The sequence below is a fragment of the Homo sapiens genome, chromosome 2 (genome assembly GCF_000001405.40).
Source record: "Homo sapiens chromosome 2, GRCh38.p14 Primary Assembly".
Classification (NCBI taxonomy): Eukaryota; Metazoa; Chordata; class Mammalia; order Primates; family Hominidae; genus Homo; species Homo sapiens.
In genome coordinates this window covers 117,746,202-117,769,077 of record NC_000002.12, presented here as the reverse complement: position 1 = coordinate 117,769,077, position 22,876 = coordinate 117,746,202, and the positions used below count along the sequence as shown (strand labels likewise).

Below are 22,876 nucleotides of genomic sequence, written 5' to 3'. Positions count from 1 at the left end.
GCAAGTGCAAACACATTCAAAAGCTAGCAGAAGGCAAGAAATAGCTAAAATCAGAGCAGAACTGAAGGAAATAGAGACATAAAAATCCCTTCAAAAAATTAATGAATCCAGGAGCTGATTTTTTGAAAGGATTAACAAAATTGATAGACTGCTAGCAAGACTAATAAAGAAAAAAAGGGAGAAGAATCAAATAGATGTAATAAAAAAATGATAAAGGGGATATCACCACCGATCCTACAGAAATACAAACTACCATCAGAGAATACTACAAACACCTCTATGCAAATAAACTCGAAAATCTAGAAGAAATGGATAAATTCCTCGGCACATACACCCTCCCAAGACTAAACCAGGAAGAAGTTGAATCTTTGAATAGGCCAATAACAGGATCTGAAATTCTGGCAATAATCAATAGCTTACCAACCAAAAAGAGTCCATGACCAGATGGATTCACAGCCAAATTCTACCAGAGGTACAAGGAGGAACTGGTACCATTCCTTCTGAAACTATTCCAATCAGTAGAAAAAGAGGGAATCCTCCCTAACTCATGAGGCCAGCATCATCCTGATACCTAAGCTGGGCAGAGACACAACCAAAAAAGATAATTTTAGACCAATATCTTTGATGAACATTGATGCAAAAATCCTCAGTAAAATACTGTCAAGGCGAATCCAGCAGCACATCAAAAAGCTTATCCACCATGATCAAGTGGGCTTCATCCCTGGGATGCAAGGCTGGTTCAATATAAGCAAATCAATAAATGTAATCCAGCATATAAACAGAACCAAAGACAAAAACCACATGATTATCTCAATAGATGCAGAAAAGGCCTTTGACAAAATTCAACAACCTTCATGATAAAAACTCTCAATAAATCAGGTATTGATGGGACGTATCTCAAAATAATAAGAGCTATCTATGACCAACCCACAGCCAATATCATACTGAATGGGCAGAAACTGGAAGCATTCCCTTTGAAAACTGGCACAAGACAGGAATGCCCTCTCTCACCACTCCTATTCAACATAGTGTTGGAAGTTCTGGCCAGGGCAATTAGGCAGGAGAAGGAAATAAAGGGTATTCAGTCAGGAAAAGAGGAAGTCAAATTGTCCCTGTTTGCAGACGACATGATTGTATATCTAGAAAACCCCATCATCTCAGCCCGAAATCTCCTTAAGCCGATAAGCAACTTCAGCAGTCTCAGGATACAAAATCAATGTACAAAAATCACAAGCATTCTTATACACAAATAACAGACAAACAGAGAGCCAAATCATGAGTGAACTCCCATGCACAATTGCTTCAAAGAGAATAAAATACCTAGGAATCCACCTTACAAGGGATGTGAAGGACCTCTTCAAGGAGAACTACAAACCACTGCTCAATGAAATAAAAGTGGATACAAACAAATGGAAGAACATTCCATGCTCATGGGTAGGAAGAATCAATATCATGAAAATGGCCATACTGCCCAAGGTAATTTATAGATTCAATGCCATCCCCATCAAGCTACCAATGACTTTCTTCACAGAATTGGAAAAAACTACTTTAAAGTTCATATGGAACCGAAAAAGAGCCTGCATCACCAAGTCAATCCTAAGCCAAAAGAACAAAGCTGGAGGCATCACACTATCTGACTTCAAACTACACTACAAGGCTACAGTAAGCAAAACAGCATGGTACTGGTACCAAAACAGAGATATAGATCAATGGAACAGAGCAGAGCCCTCAGAAATAACACCGCATATCTACAACTATCTGATCTTTGACAAACCTGAGAAAAACAAGCAATGGGGAAAGGATTCCCTATTTAATAAATGGTGCTGGGAAAACTGGCTAGCCATATGTAGAAAGCTGAAACTGGATCCCTTCCTTACACCTTATACAAAAATCAATTCAAGATGGATTAAAGACTTAAACGTTAGACCTAAAACCATAAAAACCCTAGAAGAAAACCTAGGCATTACCATTCAGGACATAGGCATGGGCAAGGACTTTATGTCTAAAACACCAAAAGCAATGGCAACAAAAGACAAAATTGACAAATGGGATCTCATTAAACTAAAGAGCTTCTGCACAGCAGAAGAAACTACCATCAGAGTGAACAGGCAACCTACCAAATGGGAGAAAATTTTCGCAACCTACTCATCTGACAAAGGGCTAATATCCAGAATCGACAATGAACTCAAACAAATTTACAAGAAAAAACAAACAACCCCATCAACAAGTGGGCAAAGGATATGAACAGACACTTCTCAAAAGGAGAGATTTATGCAGCCAAAAGACACATGAAAAAATGCTCATCATCACTGGCCATCAGAGAAATGCAAATCAAAACCACAACGAGATACCATCTCACACCAGTTAGAATGGCAAGCATTAAACAGTCAGGAAACAACAGGTGCTGGAGAGGATGTGGAGAAATAGGAACACTTTTACACTGTTGGTGGGACTGTAAACTAGTTCAACCATTGTGCAAGTCAGTGTGGCGATTCCTCAGGGATCTAGAACTGGAAATACCGTTTGACCCAGCCATCCCATTACTGGGTATATACCCAAAGGACTATAAATCATGCTGCTATAAAGACAGATGCACACGTATGTTTATTGCAGCACTATTCACAATAGGAAAGACTTGGAACCAACCCAAATGTCCAACAATGATAGACTGGATTAAGAAAATGTGGCACATATACACCATGGAATACTATGCAGCCATAAAAAATGATGATTTCATGTCCTTTGTAGGGACATGGATGAAACTGGAAAGCATCATTCTCAGTAAACTATCGTAAGGACAAAAAACCAAACACCGCATATTCTCACTCATAGATGGGAATTGAACAATGAGAACACATGGACACAGGAAGGGGAACATCACACTCTGGGGACTGTTGTGGGGTGGGGGGATGGGGGAGGGATAGCATTAAGAGATATACCTAATGCTAAATGACGAGTTAATGGGTGCAGCACAGCAGCATGGCACATGTATACATATGCAACTAACCTGCACATTGTGCACATGTACCCTAAAACTTAAAGTATAATAATAATAAGAAAAATAAACAATATTGATTCTTAAAAAAAATAAAAAAAATAAAAATACACGTTTGTCGGTATATAAATTTTACGATGCCTAAACAGAACTTAAAATAAACTGTTCTAACCAACAGGAATAAAAGAAAAGGCAGGTCTATAACTCTGTAATAAAAACATAACCCCCTGAGCTAAAGACTCTGTAATTATACTAGTGTTATGTATTCTTTTCTGAAAATCTTCAGGACAAATTATTACAATTTCTTTGTTTTTCTGTGGTAGATTCAATTGCTTCCAACAGCGGTATGTTTTGGAAAGCATGAGGCAAAAAGTAGACTCAGTATTAAAAATAAAAAAGTATATATGACATAGTTTCTGTGCCCTAGCTGCTTGGCAGTGGGGGCACCAGGTTGGAGGTGGTGGTGAGGACTCTGGGGTGGATGAGATTCGAGAGAGAGGTTAAGGCATGAACAACAAGGGACCTGCTGAAGCACCCTCTCTCAGGATGTCAGCAGCCTCCTGACAAAACGGTGTTAATATTTTTAAGACATACTTATGGTTTTACCTTTTATTTTATTCCTGTTGGATAGGACAGGTTTTTTTTGACTTTTGTTTTAGATTCAGGGGTTTCAAGTACATGTTTGTTACATGTGTATATTGCATGATGCTAGGGTTAAGGGTAAGAATGATCCCATCACTCAGGTACTGAGCATAGTACCCAACTGTTATTTTTTCAACCCTTACCTCCTTCCCTCCCTTCACCCTCTAATAGTTCCCAGTGTCTACTTTTGTCATTTTTCAATTTTTTTTTTTTTTTTAATTTCGAGGCAGAGCCTCGCTCTGTCACCCACACTGGACACCCAGGCTGGAGTGCAGTGGTGTGATCTTGGCCTGCTGCAACCTCCGTCTCCAGGGTTCAAGCAATTCTCGTGCCTCAGCCGCCAGAGTAGCTGGGATTACAGTCATGTGCCACCATGCCTGGTTAATTTTTGTATTTTTAGTAGAGATTTTTGCCATGTTGGCCACGCTGGTCTTGAACTCCTGGCTTCAAGTGATCTGCCTGCCTTGGCCTCCTAAAGTGCTGGGATTATAGGCATTAACCACCATGCCCAGCCTATTTTTTGCCATTATTGTGTCTATGAATACTCAATGTTTAGCTCCCACTTCTAAGTGAGAACATGTGGTATTTAATTTTCTGATCTTGTGTTAATTTGTTTAGGATAATAGCTTCCAGCTGCATCCATGTTGCTGGAAAGGACTTTTTTTTTTATATATATATCTGTGTAGTGTTCCATGATGTATATGTACCACATTCTAAAAAATCCAATCCATCATTGATGGGCACCTAGGTTGATTCCACGTCTTTGCTGTTGTGACTAGTGCTGCAATGACACGTGAGTGCAAATGTCTTTTTGGTAGAACGGTTTGTTTTCTTTTGGATATATACCCAGTAATGGGATTGCTGGGCTAAATGATAGTTCTAGAGTAGTTTGTTTTAAAACCTTTTAAGTTCTGTTTAAACACTGGGCAATGCTTAAATCATTCTTTCCATTCTCTAGGAGCAATTTTCAAATCAATCTGAGCCATTTCCAGTCAATTCAGCAGAAACTTCAGGTCTGCAATGGGATCTGGGATAAACTGTGGCCATACGTTCTTCTGGAGTTCTTGAAGTTTCCCAATCAGTTTAGAGGTAGATTGTTTTTTTCACTTCAAAGGATTCTAGCTTTTAAAGTAAAAATTGAAGCAAGAAGCAATGTTGGTTCAGTAACATTCTGTGTTTTAGGGTTGGCTGAACACAATCAGGAATTTGGTTAATGGCACCAAGGAAATAAATGAAAAGGAAAGCACAGGGTGTCTCGTGAAAGAATGAGTGTTTGATTTGCTTTGAGGAAACCCATACAGGAGGCCTCTAGGGATAACCTGCTTGACTAGGGTGAGCCAGGATGCATTTGCTTTTTTGAAGTTATTTAGTGCCAAAAAGAAGCAGAGCCTAATATACGGTTGGATAATTCCCAAGCATTCCCAGTACTCTCTGAAGCATTACTTCACTACCATGGCATCCCTGGCTTGGCTTCAACAGTGGTACCCATAGCAACTTTTCTCTGCCACTTTCAAAACGAGGTGACATGCACAAAGACTTATTTCTGAGAACTGGAGAGAACCTAGTTATTTGTATGGTAAGAAATTCACAAATATATCCCCCTGCACTGCAATTCCTGGGTGACATCTCTCTCTCGTTGGACTATAAGCTTCTTGTGGACATGGTGACAAAGACTCTCTCCTTGAACAAACTTGAATCCAATTTCTCTGAGTCTTCTTGACTTGGCTAGATCTTTGGCTCTACCCTTAGTCTGCTTAGTCCAATTAACAAGAATCTTAATGGCTCAGTTCAGCAAAAATCTCCCACCGCCAGTATCTTATCATCCTAGCTTGTCTTTGGCCATTATCCTGTTGAGTTGGTCTAGCAAGAATCCCCCAACCTTGATGTTCCTTCTTATTAATTTTCCATCTAATGACACCCACCCTGCTTCTTGGCTATAAATCCTCACTTACGCATGTTATATTCACAGTTGAGTCTGGTCCCTCTCCCTTACTGCATAACTCATTGCAGTAGTCCCTTGAATAGTCTTTCTTGACGTCTTTAACAAGTGTCAGAATAAAAAAGTGTTAGATAATATTTTCTTTGACAAGGGCCATGTGACTTTGCATCCCTAGGCCCTACGATTCTAGGGCCTGAATCATAGTGGGTACTGAATACTTTTTTTTTCACTTTAGAATTTTAATGTTGTATTTTGTACAGTTCTTTTTTTTCTTTTTTTTTTTACTTTAAGTTCTGGGATACATGTGCAGAATGTGCAGGTTTGTTACATAGGTATACATGTGCCATGGTAGTTTGCTGCACCTATCAACTTGTCATCTAGGTTTTAAGCCCTGAATGCATCAGGTATTTGTCCTGATGCTCTCCCTCCCTTTGACCCCCAACCCTGAGAGGCCCTGGTGTGTGTTGTTCCCCTCCCTGTGTCCATGTGTTCTCACTGTTCAACTCCCATTTATGAGTGAGAAAATATGGTATTTGGTTTTCTGTTCCTGTGTTAGTTTGCTGAGAATGACGGCTTCCAGCTTCATCCATGTCCCTGCAAAGGACATAAACTCATTATTTTTTTATGGCTGCATAGTATTCCATGGTTTATATGTGCCACATTTTCTTTATCCAGTCTATCACTGATGGGCATTTAGGTTGGTTTCCAGTCTTTGCTATCTCAATAATTTTTGAAGTGAGGAGAGAAATGAATGAAAACTGGAACTAGGTGGTTTGTTTTAGCATTGTAAATAGAGCCTTTGAAAGCCACAGATCTGTATTTAGATCCTGTTCTGATGTTTGCTATTAGATCATAGACAAGCTACTGAATTGTCCTGTGCTCAGCTTCCTCAGCTGTGAGGAGTGGAGATAATGTAAGTGAATTAGTGCAGAAACAGAAAATCAAATACCTCATGTTCTCACTTATAAGTGGGAGCTAAACAATGGGTACACATGGACATAAAGATGGAAACAGTAGACACTGGGGACTCCAAAAGTGATGAGAGAGGCAGGAGGGCTGCCTATTGTGGGTACTATCTTCACTATGTTCACTATCTTTTGGGTACTATGTTCACTATTTGGGTGATGGGTTCAGTAGCAGCCCAAACCCCAAAATTATGCAATATACCCATGTAACAAATCTGTACATGTACCCCTGAATCTAAAATTAGAGGAAAAATGCTGCCCATACCAATACTGACAAAAAAAAAAAAGAATGGGGATAATATAACCTACAGTATTTTGCAGAGTTGTTGTGAGGAACAAATGCAATAATGTGAAGTATCAGGCACTTGGTATTTGATCGGTGAGTGGTTATCATTGTTATCGCCACTATCAACAATAATGATAAAATGGCTACCCCTTCTGGGTCATGTAAGAAAGATGGAAAGATGTAATTCTGTCTAAAACTTTTCTACTCATTCCAAGGATTTCCTATTCTGTTATGGACTGAATTGTGTCCCTCCAAAATTCACATGTTGGAGCCCTAACCCCTAAGGTTACTATATTTCGAAATAGGGCCTATAAGGAAGTAATTAAGGTTAAATGAGGTCATAAGGGTGGGCGCCTAATCAAATAGGACAGTTGTCTTTATAAGAAGACACCAGAGATCCCCCCCACCCCCGCAGAAGAAAAGCCACGTGAGGACACAGTGAGGAGGTGGCCGTCCACAAGCTTGGAAGAGAGCCCTCACCAGCCTGACCATACTAATACATAGTCTAAGACCTGCTGCTGACACTTAGCTAAATTATGTAAACAACCCTGCTTCCCTGACTCTCACACTGTAATTTCTCTACCCATCATTGCATTCCTTACTTATTCCATTTGATTTTTATCAATTCCATCCAAGCCTTTATATACACTTTCAGAATTTGGCTCTTCAAAAGCTGTGATTACCTTATCATCAGACTATCTTCCAAATGAAAATTGGTATTTGATATTTGGAGTTTATAATTTTATGAGACCAAGGGGATAATTAATTTTGTAAACAAGGCCTGATACAATTACAAAAATTGCAGAGAATTGACACAGACAGGGAAGGCTTCATGGAGAAGCTATTATGTGTTAAGAAAGGAGAGGAATTTCATTATTTTGGCCAAAAGGAAGGTGGAAGGTTATATTTTGTGAGGCAACGAGCCCATAAATGTTTATAATGCAGCTTTTAAAGAGTAAATCCTTTTCCATGACACCATTTGGGTAAGCAGATGTTCCAGTTATTTATTGCCTAACAAACCATCACATAATTTAATGGCTTAAAATAACAATGATTATTTATTTTGCTCATGAATCTTGAGTCTGGCTGGAGCTTAGCAGAGACAGCATGTCTGTGCTCTATGAGATGCTGGCTGAGTCAGCTTTATTGGGGGCTGGAGGATCTACTTCCAAGGTGGCTCATTCTCATGGGTGGCAAGTCTGGGAGCTGAGCCAGACTGTGTGGCAGGGCCTCAGTTTCTCTCCATATGGGCCTCCCCACAGGCTGTTGGGCTCGCTCACAGCATGGCAGCTAGTTTCCAAGAGTAAGGTCTCAACAGCAAGGAAGTGAAAGCTGCCAGTTGTTGAGGTCTGGGCCTGGACACTGGCACAGCATTTCTTTTGCCTTTATCTATTGGTCAAGTCATCAAGGAGCCCTGATTCTAGGGGAGGGACCCTCGACCCTACCTCCTAATGACAGACATGCCAAAGAATTTTGGGGCCATGTTTTAAATCCCACACAGCAGATGGTATAAATCAGAGGTTCTCAACCCTGGTTGTATTTTAGAAGTATTTTGGAGTTAAAGACAAAATACCAGTGCCTTGTGACCACCTCGAGAGATTCTGGTTTGGTTGGGCTAGAGGGCAGCCTGAGAGACTGTATTTTATATTTTTTTTCTAGGTGATTCTGACATGCAAACAAGCCTCTGGGCCAAAGTTCCTGTGTCCAAGGATTAAAAAAAAAATGGAGCATAAGTCTGAGGCTGTGAACGAGGCTCCTCCTGCCCTCTGGAGCTTGCTGGAAGGAAACACAGCCCAAGAAGTGGACTAAAGAGTTGTTCCAACACCACTGCCTACAAGATGAACTGCTTCCAAATGATGATAGAGGAAAAACTTTCAGGTAAATGGACCTGCCATCATCACACATGCTTTTTCTCATATTACATTTTACCTGCAGTTTGTAAATATTATAAAAAATCAATAAAGCTGCCATATTGCTGTAATCTAATTTGTCTTTTCTGATTGTGTGAAGCTGGAGGACACATTTGGCATCACATTTTCGGACCTCAGAGAGTGATGTTAAACATTTATAGTGCACTTAATAATCTGTCAGAAATGTACAAAGGCATAATGTCTCATTAATAATTATTAAATCATTGAGTCACACAGAAGGAGATGTTCCCCTCTTTACTTACGTAATGACCAGCAACCGCTAAAACGTAGCTCATTTGTGATGCACAGCCAGCACATCTAATAGTGGAAATCTGCTTGAGGAAATTAATAAGAAATCGTATTCAGAGATAGGATTTTAGACAGCAAGAAAACATGCATATGGATTGCTGCAGTATTCAGCCAGGGCAAATAGATGTTCCCTTCCTGATCAGAGTCAGGTTAAAATTCAGCCAGATAATTGCTGAGAGGGAAGAGATGTGAAAGGAAATGATCTTATTTGCTTTCGGAGGCTAGATAACTCATTTCAATATGCCCAGCTTTGGGCTTTTATTCATAGGTATATGTATCAGTTTATGAATAAAAGAGATACATATTTTGATTTGGAATGAGGTTGGGATGGAAGGTGCAATTTGAATTTTTCAAGACTTGGATTTTATTTCCAATGCTGTTTGTGAGGATTTTTTTAGTTTTTATTTTATAAGAACTTTTTAATACCAGGCAATGTCATTTTAGTAACACATAACACAAGAATTGAATTACATCTGTTGCATATCCTCTCCCTCCCTCCAATATTCAGCCTAGAGAATTTAAAGTTTTAGCCTTTAAAAAATTTACAGGCTGTGCTTGTCTTTATAGCAGCTGATGTGAAATCAACTCTTAGCTTCCATTTTCAACCTTAAGCTTTCTTCATTCTGGGTAAACTCAAGGCTTCCCAATCCGTACTGGTGATAAGTGCATGATCCAATCAAGCTAGCTGGTGGCTCAAGGTTGTTGACTAAAGAGTTGTTCCAAATTGCAGGATTGTAAAGGGTGTCCCATGCAGTTAGCCTGGGCCTGGTAAGACATTCTGTGCCACCAACATTTCTGTGGTCAAACTTTTGAAGTTTTTCACACCTTTCACACTCATTACTGTGCTGGGGCTTGTCTTTGGTAAAAGTGTTAAATACACAATATTTGCCTTTGGTGCGCATCCTTCCAGTTCTAGGCCAATAAGCAGGCACCACGTTTCTTCCTGCCAGTAGCTGTCCTGCATGGTTGTTCAACAAGCCTCGCCCATAGATCTTTGAGCCACTGTGGGATGAAGTATTTGTTACTTGCTATTTGGGGGGAAAATTCTCAGAACATATTATTGGCATTACTCACTAAGGTTTTGGAGAGGAGAACCAAAAAATGCCTTTGAAAGTTTGGTAAGATTGACTTTCATATTAATTTGCCTAAAAAAGTTTGTGCCCTCCCTTGTTCAGAAAAGCTTTAAAGCACTTCTAAGGATGCATTCAGTTTTTCAAATCAACATAAATAGAAGTAGGTGGGAAACAAGAAGAAAAATTACTGGTGGAGTTTTTTTTTTTTTTTTTTTTGAGATGGAGTTTCACTCTTGTCACCCAGGCTCGAGTGCAATGGCATGATCTTGGCCCACTTCAACCTCTGTCTCCTGGGTTCAAGCGATTCTCCTGCCTCAGCCTCCCAAGTAGCTGGGATTACAGGTGCCTCCCACCATGCCCAGCTAATTTTTGTATTTTTAGTAGAGACAGGGTTTCACCATTTTGGCCAGGCTGGTCTTGAACTCCTGACCTCAGGTGATCCACCTGCCTTGGCCTCCCAAAGTGCTGGGATTACAAGCGTGAGCCACCACACCCAGCCTTTTTTTTCTTTCTTTCTTTCTCTTTTTTTTTTTTTTTTTTTTTTGAGACAGAGTCTCGCTCTGTCACCCAGGCTGGAGTGCAGTGGCGCAATCTCGGCTCACTGCAACTTCTGCCTCCTGGGTTCAAGAGATTCTTCTGCCTCAGACTCCTGAGTAGCTGGGATTACAGGTGCCTGCCACCATGCCCGGCTACTTTTTGTATTCTTATTTTTTTTTTAGTAGAGATGGGGTTTCACCATATTGGCCAAGCTGGTCTCCAACTCTTGACCTCAGGTGATCTACCCTGCCTTGGCCTTCCAAAGTGCTGGGATTACAGGCATGTGCCACTGTGCCTGGCCTGGTGGAGCTATTTTTTTAATAGCCAGGAATGAAGCCAAAACAGCAATGCAGACCATGCATACAGCCTGTCATTCTTTTTAACAGGTGGGCCTCAAATTGTTCTGTAAGTATTCTAGAAACTAAATGAAAAGAGACATTTGTTTGGTTGTACTATTTAGGGTTCATGAGATTAAAAACAAGCCCATTTTAAGGAGATGCACAATTCATTTTGATACTGTGGCAGGAACAACATTCTTTTCGGGACTCTCATGAATGAGCCCACTGTGTAAAGTAACAGCACCTTCAACCTTCTCATTGCAGACACCTGGGGTTACATTGGTGTTTCTTTTGTGTTTCCCAATGCAGGCTGATAACATCACATCATAGCCCATGCCAGTGAAAATCTTTCAACAGGAAGAGTGAAGAAGAGAGAAAAGGTCAAAAGACTGTTTTACTTCACGAATTTCTGTAGGTCTAGCTTAATTCAGGAGTGAACTTTAGAGTATCTAAATGGGAGGATGAAAAGGATAGATTTCATGCACCTTTGAAAATAATTTTTTTCCGCTAAATTGTGTTTTTGAGAAGTATTACAAGGCAGCAGCATGCTTAATGTTATGCTTCTAGGCAAATGCTTACAGTGTGTGTATCACATATGCCCAATTACACGTGGAACCACAGGCTCTAACAGACACTGGCTTGGGGTAGGGCTGACACAGCCTGTGCAAACTAAGGTGCTGGGAGGATGCTTTCCTGATCCAATGCCTATTCCATTTCTGCTTGGAGGTGAGGAGAAAGAATATTTGTGTGCAAAGGCAGAGGACTGAATTGTGTTTTACTACCTTTGAGCAGTTTTGCAATTACTGTTGCAGAACATGAGAATCAAAGAAGATGGGTGGATGGACCATCATAGTCAAAGTGAGTCATTGCCACAGGCAGAGGGAGGGAGGAAGCAGGATGGTTGGTCTGTGCAGATTCCAAGATACATCTATGTGGGCCTTTCTAATAAAGCATTAATTCATTCTTCCATTATTCATGCAATACATAAATTTTGAGCACTGACATGTGGTAAGCACTGTGCCAGTTAGTGGACATGCCAAGAGAAAAAACACATGGTTTGGGCCTCTTCATATATTTTTGTACTTATCTTCCACAGGTAGAACAATGTTCCTTTTGCATTCGACAGATATTTTGGAGCTCACAATTTGTTTTTCAGCTTCTCACAGCAACGACCTCTGAAGAACAGGGCCTAAGCTTACTAATATGAACACATGATATCAATTTTGTGTTCCAGTAATGACAGAAGTCCTGATGCCAAAGGCAGCATTGTTTTCATTCTCTTGCTTTAAAACTGAGTAATAATATAATGATTAGGAATTACTGTTAGCAACACAGATAAGAGTTAGTCATTCACACTTCCACAGTGGAACAACTGTTGGGAAGCTATAGCTTTATGCTGAATGATTTTGAGTTCTAATTACTGAATCTGAATAGCTGTCTTTAAATGTCAGTAATGGTAGAAAAAGGTTCTTTACTCTTAAGAACCAGTGGGGAATGAGCAGTACAAAATGTTCTTGTTAAAATTTCTCTTCTCTTTTTAAAATAGATGATCAAAGACATCCTAGAGTTCCCATCATTTTAGGAGATGTTTACATACATGAGGAATGGCACATAGGAAGACTCAGACCTTTACAACACCACATGGAAGTCACAGAATAAGAGAACATTCAAGCTGGAAGGCAATGTCTAGCCCAACCTCCTCATTTTGCAGATGAAGGAACTGTTTTAGTGCAGGGGTATTACATATAAACATCACAAGGGCAGAGCAGGTATGGAGTTTGGGGCTCCTCTTACTCAATCTAGTGGCCTGTCAATGGTGTCTAGTAGGGTGCTGGTTGTCCCATTCCTCCTTGCTGTCAGATGTCTATTTCATTGCTGCCATAAGTGTGGCTAGCCCCAGGGGAGGAATGGTGACCATCAAGACAATCACACTCTCCTTTGCCAGGGAGTATGTTCTGGCTTGTGATATGTAATGGGAGCTTTGCTGGTGCTCTTTGGAAAAGTTTTGCCTTGCTGACAACACGCAGGCACTTGAGAACAGAGTCCTTTTGCTAATACCTTCCTTTCTTCTTTGAACAGTCATGGGAGGATATCAGGCTTAGAGCTGTGATAGCTCTTTTGTGATCCTAAGAGGAGATTGTTGCCATGGCACCGAAGTTGCAGACTAGGAGGAGAAAATCAGCCCTATCCTTGTTGAAATCATTGATCTGAGCTAGCCTGGGACTGACTACCTCTTCCTGCTAGGTTAATAGGACTCTCCTTTGGCTTAAGCCAGACAAGAGGGTGCTTGGTATATTCAAGGATAGACAAGGGTCCAATGTGATTGGAGAGCAGTGAATCATAGGGAGAAAAGAAGATGAGGTGAGTAGGTAACAGTAGGCCAGATCAGGTAGGGTTTTATAACATGGTGAAGGTTTTTAGCATTTACTCTGTCGTGTGAGCAGAAGAGTGATTTTATTCTGAGTTATGTGTAACTGGATCACCCTGGCTGATATGTTAAGAAAAGACTGTGAGAGGTTGAAGGTAGAACCAGGGAAACCTGTTGAAACTCTTTTGACACGATCCAGGGAAAAGATGGCAATAGCTTAGACCAGTGTAGTAGTGAAAAAAGTGGCAAGACATCACAGATTCTGGATACATTTTAAAGGTAATGATAAAAATTTTCTTGACATAATAAGGGGAAAGAGAGATAGATATATAGATATTGAAAGAGAGAGAGAGAATGAGAGAGAGAGAGAGTCAAAGATGACCTAGTCTGAACAATGGGAAGGATAAAGTTGTCCTGAACTGAGATGAGGGTGACTTTAGGAGGAATAATTTTAGGGGGAGAAGATCAGAAGTTCTGATATGATCAAGTTAAGTTTGAGGTGTGTATTAGACTTATAAATAGAGATGTTGAGTGGACTGTCAGATCTTAAAGCTGCAATTTAGGGGAGAAATCCATGCTGGAGATATACATTCAGAAATTAAAAAAATCATATTGATTGTGTTTAAAGGCATGAAACTCAATGTAATCTGCAAGGAGATTAGTATGGATAGACAAGAGAAGAGACCCAGAGACTGAACTCTAGGGCACTCCAACTATTAGAGGTGGGAGGGATGAAGATAAACTCAAGAATGAGGGTGACCAACCAGGAAGGCAGAAGGGGAATCAGGAGAGAGGGTGGTTCTGGAGGCCAAATGAAGAAGGTTTAGAAGGAGGAAGGAATAATGAACTCTGTCAATAAAGGCAAGTCAATAGACTCAAACCCTCATTCCAGCATACAGGGGGATGACTATGTTGTCTCTTTTTAATATTTTCTGGTAGTTTTGGTAAAAGTGAGGGGATTGTGCTTGCATTTATCCAAATTGCCTTTGCCTCCAAGGTCACCTTATTTAGCGTTCTTAATCTCTACTCTACATTTTGACTCCTCTGTTTACTGTCTCATTTTGTTACCACATCACTATATTGGAAACCTCCCTGACCATCCTCTTACCACAGCCCACCAACTCCAGCATGTGTGTGTTAGATTGAATAGTAGATTTAAGGGCAACTTGCGGATGACATCACAGGGCAGCCCAACACGAAGTTGAATGAATCAGTCAGGGTAGGCTTGGTTATGTTGTAGTAACAAACAGCCCCAAATCTCCATGGCTAAAACCAACAAATGTAACTCATCAAATGGGCAAATAAAATTTGTGCATTTCACTATATGTATATTTTGTCAAAAAAATCACCTGCAAACAAATATTGGGCTCTACTAAGTGATATGCATACTGAAGTGGTTAGGCTGAGATGTACTAATGTCTGCAACTTATTGAAATGTATCCAATAGGTAAAATTAATTGATGGGTGGATAGAGGAATGTACAGATGTGTGATAAAACAAATATAGGAAAATGTTAATTGTAGGATCTAGATGGTGGGTACAGAAAAATTCACTGTAAAATTCTGTTAATTTCTGAATGTTTGAAAACTTCCATAATAAAATTAGAAAAACATCAACAACAAATATAGTTTATGCCGTGCATCACCACAGGTCAGCAGGGGGCTCTGCTCCACACAGACACTCAGGGAACCAGGCTTAAGTAGCCACCATCTCAAATGCTTTGTATCACCATGGCAGAGGGGAAGAGAGCTCTGGAGACAATTAAATGTATTTGATGGAAGTGACACGAGTCATGTCACTTCTTTCAGCTTTTTAGGGAGAACTCATCATATAACCCAACTCAATTATGGGGGTTCAGGAAGTACAAGTCAACCATGTGCTCAGAAGTGGAAATTGTAGAAATATTAGGCAAACATTACTAGTGATATCTAGATGAATAATTAGATGTCCTTGTTCTTTAAAGCCCCTTAGCCATTTCCACTGCTAGAGAATTGTTAATAGTGGTATTTTTATCCCAGTCTCAGCTTCTTGCTGATTTGTTGGGCTCTCTCTTCCTTTGCTTATCCACCTCTTACTTTCCTGTTAATTTCTTGTATAAAACACTTCATACTCCTTAGTTTTAGTTATTCCAGGATATACCTGTGGGGCCTTAAGTCCTTAATGAAGCTCATTTTATTTACTTAATTTTCCCTGAGAAGTATTTCATGATAACCATCAGTGATCACATCCTCCCCTGTCTCCTGCCTGACCAGGGTGCTCATAGCTGGGAGATGCTGTGTGATTCTACCTCTGTGGCTTGGGAGGCAGTTTGCTGTGGTGCTGGAGAGTGTGGAGTCTGCAGACAGGTCACTCCAGCTCCCCCACTTCCTGGCTTCTTGAGGTGGGCAAATGCTTCTCTGTGCATTAGCATCCTCATCTTTAAGATGGAGATGCTAATAATATTTCTTACCTTGTATAATTGTTGTGAGAATTAAATGAGTTAATACATGAAAGTGTTCAGCTTACTAAGGGCTCAATAAGTAGTGGTCATTATTATTATTAGCAGGAAGTAACTTTAGACAGACTACTTAACCTTTCACAACGCTTATCTATGTGTAAAACAAACTCCAGGGGATATAAGCTACTGCATCAAAGTGCTCCTTCATGATTAATTTTTTTTCTGCTTATGTCATGGCTGAAAGAGCTCAAGGAGCAACACAGGTTGGGATTCTGTTCAGATCCCCCTAGAAAGCAGGGCTATTCATATCTACACAGCTCATAGTTGAGGCAGGCTGCTGCCTGATAAGGACTTGACATTGAAAGTTATTTAAGTGTTGGACATAGGCTTCCCTTTTTCCAAATGTTTCCTGGATTCAGTTTGAAGCTGTGAACAACCAAGGTGTTTTGAAAGTTTGAAAAAGGTGACTATTATATAAGAGAAACTATTACACAGTTAGAGAGACCTATGTTAAATTTGGATATATGTATTTTTCCTTTCCTCCCCATTTATTTCCCCCTCTAATAAACAAATATATATTTAATGAACAGTACTAGGCTCTGGGGATAAGTGGTAAACAAAATAAGCAGTCTTAGCTCCCACAGCATTTATAAATAATAGAGAAATAGACAAGTAATCGAGTATTTGTAATAAAAAGTTTAGCTGAGTAAGAATAGAATACATGAAAATTATTGAATTTATCATCCAGAAAATATCTGTGATTGTATCTCTATATCTATCATACATGTCTTAAGATGAATAAGAGATATCATATAAGAACAGATAATCTTTGCTTATGGTGTTATTAAAAATACTTTATATCAATCCATTTATATGGTCCTATAGCATCTCTGGAAGGTATTTAATCTTTTATTTCTCTATTTATTCATCTATCTATCCATGCACCCATCCATCCATTCACCCATCTATCCAAACTTATTTAACACCTTGACTGTTGTAGGCCTTTCACTTGATATTGGGTCTAATAATATATGGTTCTAGATTTAGAGGATCCTACTATTAAATAGGGGATGACAACAGATAAACACACAGTTGTTTTATTTTTTTTATTTTTATTTTTTATTATTATTACTATTATTATTATTATTATTTTTTTAATTATACTTTAAGTTTTAGGGTACATGTGCACATTGTGCAGGTTAGTTACATATGTATACATGTGCCATGCTGGTGCACTGCACCCACTAACTCGTCATCTAGCATTAGGTATATTCCCAATGCTATCCCTTCCCCCTCCCCCCTCCCCACCACAGTCCCCAGAGTGTGATATTCCCCTTCCTGTGTCCATGTGAACTCATTGTTCAATTCCCACCTATGAGTGAGAATATGCGGTGTTTGGTTTTTTGTTCTTGCGATAGTTTACTGAGAATGATGATTTCCAATTTCATCCATGTCCCTACAAAGGACATGAACTCATCATTTTTTATGGCTGCATAGTATTCCATGCTGTATATGTGCCACATTTTCTTAATCCAGTCTATCATTGTTGGACATTTGGGTTGGTTCCAAGTCTTTGCTATTGTGAATAATGCCGCAATAAACATATGTGTGCATGTGTCTTTATAGCAGCATGATTTATAGTCCTTTGGGTATATACCCAGTAATGGGATGGCTGGGTCAAATGGTATTTCTAGTTCTAGATCCCTGAGGAATCGCCACACTGACTTGCACAATGGTTGAACTAGTTGACAGTCCCACCAACAGTGTAAAAGTGTTCCTATTTCTCCACATCCTCTCCAGCACCTGTTGTTTCCTGACTTTTTAATGATTGCCATTCTAACTGGTGTGAGATGATATCTCATAGTGGTTTTGATTTGCATTTCTCTGATGGCCAGTGATGATGAGCATTTTTTCCTGTGTTTTTTGGCTGCATAAATGTCTTCTTTTGAGAAGTGTCTGTTCATGTCCCTCGCCCACTTTTTGATGGGGTTGTTTGTTTTTTTCTTGTAAATTTGTTTGAGTTCATTGTAGATTCTGGATATTAGCCCTTTGTCAGATGAGTAGGTTGCAAAAATTTTCTCCCATGTTGTAGGTTGCCTGTTCACTCTGATGGTAGTTTCTTTTGCTGTGCAGAAGCTCTTTAGTTTAATGAGATCCCATTTGTCAATTTTGTCTTTTGTTGCCATTGCTTTTGGTGTTTTGGACATGAAGTCCTTGCCCACGCCTATGTCCTGAATGGTAATGCCTAGGTTTTCTTCTAGGGTTTTTATGGTTTTAGGTCTAACGTTTAAATCTTTAATCCATCTTGAATTGATTTTTGTATAAGGTGTAAGGAAGGGATCCAGTTTCAGCTTTCTACATATGGCTAGCCAGTTTTCCCAGCACCATTTATTAAATAGGGAATCCTTTCTCCATTGCTTGTTTTTCTCAGGTTTGTCAAAGATCAGATAGTTGTAGGTATGCGGCGTTATTTCTGAGGGCTCTGTTCTGTTCCATTGATCTATATCTCTGTTTTGGTACCAGTACCATGCTGTTTTGGTTACTGTAGCCTTGTAGTATAGTTTGAAGTCAGGTAGTGTGATGCCTCCAGCTTTGTTCTTTTGGCTTAGGATTGACTTGGTGATGCGGGCTCTTTTTTGGTTCCATATGAACTTTAAAGTAGTTTTTTCCAATTCTGTGAAGAAAGTCATTGGTAGCTTGATGGGGATGGCATTGAATCTGTAAATTACCTTGGGCAGTATGGCCATTTTCACGATATTGATTCTTCCTACCCATGAGCATGGAATGTTCTTCCATTTGTTTGTATCCTCTTTTATTTCCTTGAGCAGTGGTTTGTACTTCTCCTTGAAGAGGTCCTTCACATCCCTTGTAAGTTGGATTCCTAGGTATTTTATTCTCTTTGAAGCAATTGTGAATGGGAGTTCACTCATGATTTGGCTCTCTGTTTGTCTGTTGTTGGTGTATAGGAATGCTTGTGATTTTTGTACATTGATTTTGTATCCTGAGACTTTGCTGAAGTTGCTTATCAGCTTAAGGAGATTTTGGGCTTAGACGATGGGGTTTTCTAGATAAACAATCATGTCGTCTGCAAACAGGGACAATTTGACTTCCTCTTTTCCTAATTGAATACCCTTTATTTCCTTCTGCTGCCTGATTGCCCTGGCCAGAACTTCCAACACTATGTTGAATAGGAGCGGTGAGAGAGGGCATCCCCGTCTTATGCCATTTTTCAAAGGGAATGCTTCCAGTTTTTGCCCATTCAGTATGATATTGGCTGTGGGTTTGTCATAGATAGCTCTTATTATTTTGAAATACGTCCCATCAATACCTAATTTATTGAGAGTTTTTAGCATGAAGGGTTGTTGAATTTTGTCAAAGGCTTTTTCTGCATCTATTGAGATAATCATGTGGTTTTTGTCTTTGGCTCTGTTTATATGCTGGATTACATTTATTGATTTGCATATATTGAACCAGCCTTGCATCCCAGGGATGAAGCCCACTTGATCATGGTGGATAAGCTTTTTGATGTGCTGCTGGATTCGGTTTGCCAGTATTTTATTGAGGATTTTTGCATCAATGTTCATCAAGGATATTGGTCTAAAATTCTGTTTTTTGGTTGACACACAGTTGTTTTATAGTGGCAGGTAGGGTATACATGGTGGACATAGAAGTTTTCCAGGTAGGGCATAAATGATAGGTATAGAAGTTTCCAGTTGTTCTGATTATCTATTATTATGTAACAATTCATCCCAAAACTTAATGTATTAAAGCAAGCCAAGGATTCAGGAGCAATTTAGTGGAGCAGTTCTGGCTCAGGGTCTGTATAAGGTTGCCGTCAGGCAGTGGCCCGGGCTGGGGTCATGGGTGAGGCTTATTCACTAACATGTCTGGCACCTGTGCTGAGAAAACAGAAGCAGCTGGGAGACAGTGTAGTGTGACAGGTCTCCCACCAGGTTACTTAGGAGTGTATGTCCACTGCCTGAACCCTGAAGGCCAGGTGGTGAGCCAAGGCCATGGTGCCCAGCCGAGGAACAGGTGTCCTTGAGAACCGAAACATCTCACAGAGTATCTGGGGACATAACAAAGAAAATATTCCCATCACACACACACACAGGAGGCAAAGAGCCAGAAAATCAGCTTAAAAGCAGCTTAGGGATGGGAGACAGAGTGGATCTTCTGAGCTGCCCTGCCCAGGAGTGCCCTGTATGCAAGTCTTCATAAACTCATCTACTTGTCAGGCTGGACTTGTCCAAGTCATTCTTTGGTCTCTTTGCTCCTTCCCAGTTGCGGGAGGAGAGGGAGGGAGATGTTATAGTCCAAAGTTTTTCTCATAGCTGATGGAACAGCAGGAGCCATTGGGGACTTTTGGCCATCTCTCTCCATCTCTATTTGGCTTCTCCATATAGTTTATCTTGCTTGGTGGCTTCATGGTGTATGGACTTCTTACATGGTGGTTCAGGGCTTTAAAAGGCACATGTCTCTAAAGAGGGTGAAAGGCATAAGCCATTATCACCTTTCATAACTAGTCTTGGATATGGTGCAGCATGGATTTCATGTATTCTATGCGTGGAAGCTGTCATAGGCTTGCTCAGGATTAAGAGGAGGAGAAATAGATTTCATCTCTTGACGGGCAGCGAGGCAAGGTCCTGGAAGAGCATGTGGGACCAGAAATATCCCTGTGGTTCTTTCTAGAATATGCAGACTGCCACTGCATACTTTTCTTTTTGTAAATAGTCTTCTTAAATTGATGCATAATAGATGTACGTAGTTTTGAGGAATACATGATAATTTCATACATAGTATAATTGGTAAAGATCAAATAAGTGTATTTGGGATATCTATCACCTTAAATATTTGTCTTGTCTTTATGCTAGAAACATTCAAATTATTCTCTTGTAGCTATTTTGAAACGTACGATAGATTATGGTAAACTATAGTCACCCTACCGATCTTTCTAACACTAGGTCTTAATTCTTCTATCAAACTGTGTATTTGTGTCCATTATAATATTTTCCTTAATGAGAGGGTGTGCAGGCGCAGTGTCGAAACCTCCACAGCTGAGGTGGTGCTTCGACAGTTCAACTATGGGTAGGAGTTGACAGTCTGGATTAGATAGGCAGGACATATTTATTATTCCCACTTTCTATAGGGAAAAACCAAGGTATAAAAAAGTTGATAAAGACACCTAAGGTCAGCAGCTTTTGTAAAGGAAGTGCTGAAAATGGTTTATATTTTCTTCACCTTTAGCTCAGTTCTTGAGACAGCCAAGAGATTCTCACCCAGGGTGTGGAGCATTTTCTCACCCCAGCTCCAAGAGGCACAACAGAAGCTCCCAGAATGGGGCCTGAGAGCTTTGGTTTATCAGAAGGAAACAGATGTTAGAAAAGGTAAAATATGTTGGATTAGATCCTCTTGCTGCAATTAATTGTAGACTTGTTTCTTGAGTTCTTTGATTCTGATATCTGTTGTTTAATTAATGAGGAATTCTTAATATGAAATCCCAGATATTGGAGATTCTAGGAAGAAGCCAGATATTGAATTTGAGGGGAAAAGAAAAACCTTTACTTCATAGAGTTAATTCCTCAAGGAGTTTCCAGGTAAATAGTTAGGATTGAGTTAGTGATTCACTGCTTTCTCCTCTTGTCTGATGTATGTAGACCTTTGGAGATTATTGAATGTGGAGAATACTTTCATTCTTTAGAGATTTTCAGGTCAATATGTGTTTATTGAGAGCCTGCTATGTGCCAGAAACTGTTACAAGTTGCGGGAACAAAATGCATGTACCACAGTATTTCCTCTCAAAGGGCTTACATATAGTTACTTTAAATGTCAAACTAGAAATGCTATGATATCTCGATATGTATGCACTGCTATGCCAGCACTGACATTGCTCTGGGGGATAGGGGCGGTCCTGCAGGAAGGCATGGTGGGCAGAGTCAGGAAAGATGCACAGGAGTTCCCAGGCACAGCAGGTGGGAAGCAGGCAGAATAAAAAAAAACACACATGCACACACAATCTCGTGGAGCTTCATGCAATCCAGTATTAACTGAATTGGTAAGGATCGTGAATAAAATTCATTTTCTGTCCTGTCATAGTAGATTCCATTTGTCCACATCAGTTGGATTTCTTAGCTAATGCCTTCCTGCACCTTTATGGATCAGATATAGAACGACTCTATCTTCTCATTTGCTTAAACAAATTATAAATATATAAAGTGGGAAGCATTGACTGTATTTCAAATCCTCTTTGTGTAGTTCATAGAGCTGCAGTTCCCATACCTTGTCAATATTAACCTTTCAAGTCAGTTTTCACTTTGGGTGCACGGAGTTCTCAATCTTCAGGAACTAACTGCTTTGCTGATACCAGGGAGGATTCGATTCCTGTTTTAAATGTGTTTCTACTTGTAGTCTTCCCCTTAAATGAAAAGATTGGCTATGTCTTGCTTTAACAGCAACTTTTCAGTTTCCAACACATTTGATTTGTGGCTGCCAGGGAAAGCAGAACCAAGGATCTTCAGACAAAAATTCCAGAGCCTCTGCTTCTGCTATAGGCTTTGCATCTCTCTTTGCTGGGGTGCTTTCTTGATAATTCTCAGAGGTTTGTCCTATCTCAGGTTCATAAATGTGCCTGAGTCATTACCACACGTCACAGCGAGGCTGATCGATTTAAAAAAGTCAGTCCCAGTTTAAACGCCCCACAGTAGGGGGATGTCTACATACATTAGGCACAGCCATGCTATTGAGCATGTTGCTATGGCTAAAATGAATGGAGTAGCTCTAGATATTCTCTGAGAGAAAGATTGCTTAAATGTATTGTTAAGTGAAAAAAAAGAGCTGCAGAGCAATACATGACACCGTTTATGTAAAGGTTACTCCCATATAACAGTAGTATATATTTCCATGGGTACACTTATGTGAGTGTAAATGCAAGGAAACATTCTGGAAGAAGAGATTGCAAAGAGTGGCAGCAGTTATCTCTGCAGAAGATAGGATTGTGGATGACTCAATAGGACTTGGTCCTCATCTATAGCAGTTGGGGATTTTTGTTACCTGTGTTTTTGTTGTTGTTTACAAGGA

The 22,876-nt window shown here is 39.9% G+C and overlaps 1 long non-coding RNA gene across 1 annotated transcript; it reads left to right on the top strand.

Moving 5' to 3' along the window:
* Nucleotides 1-8,484: 8,484 nt before the first annotated feature.
* Nucleotides 8,485-14,985, top strand: LOC124907878 (uncharacterized). Its single transcript, XR_007087210.1, has 2 exons — nucleotides 8,485-8,705; nucleotides 11,304-14,985. It is a non-coding gene; the product is annotated as an uncharacterized LOC124907878 (long non-coding RNA).
* Nucleotides 14,986-22,876: the final 7,891 nt, after the last annotated feature.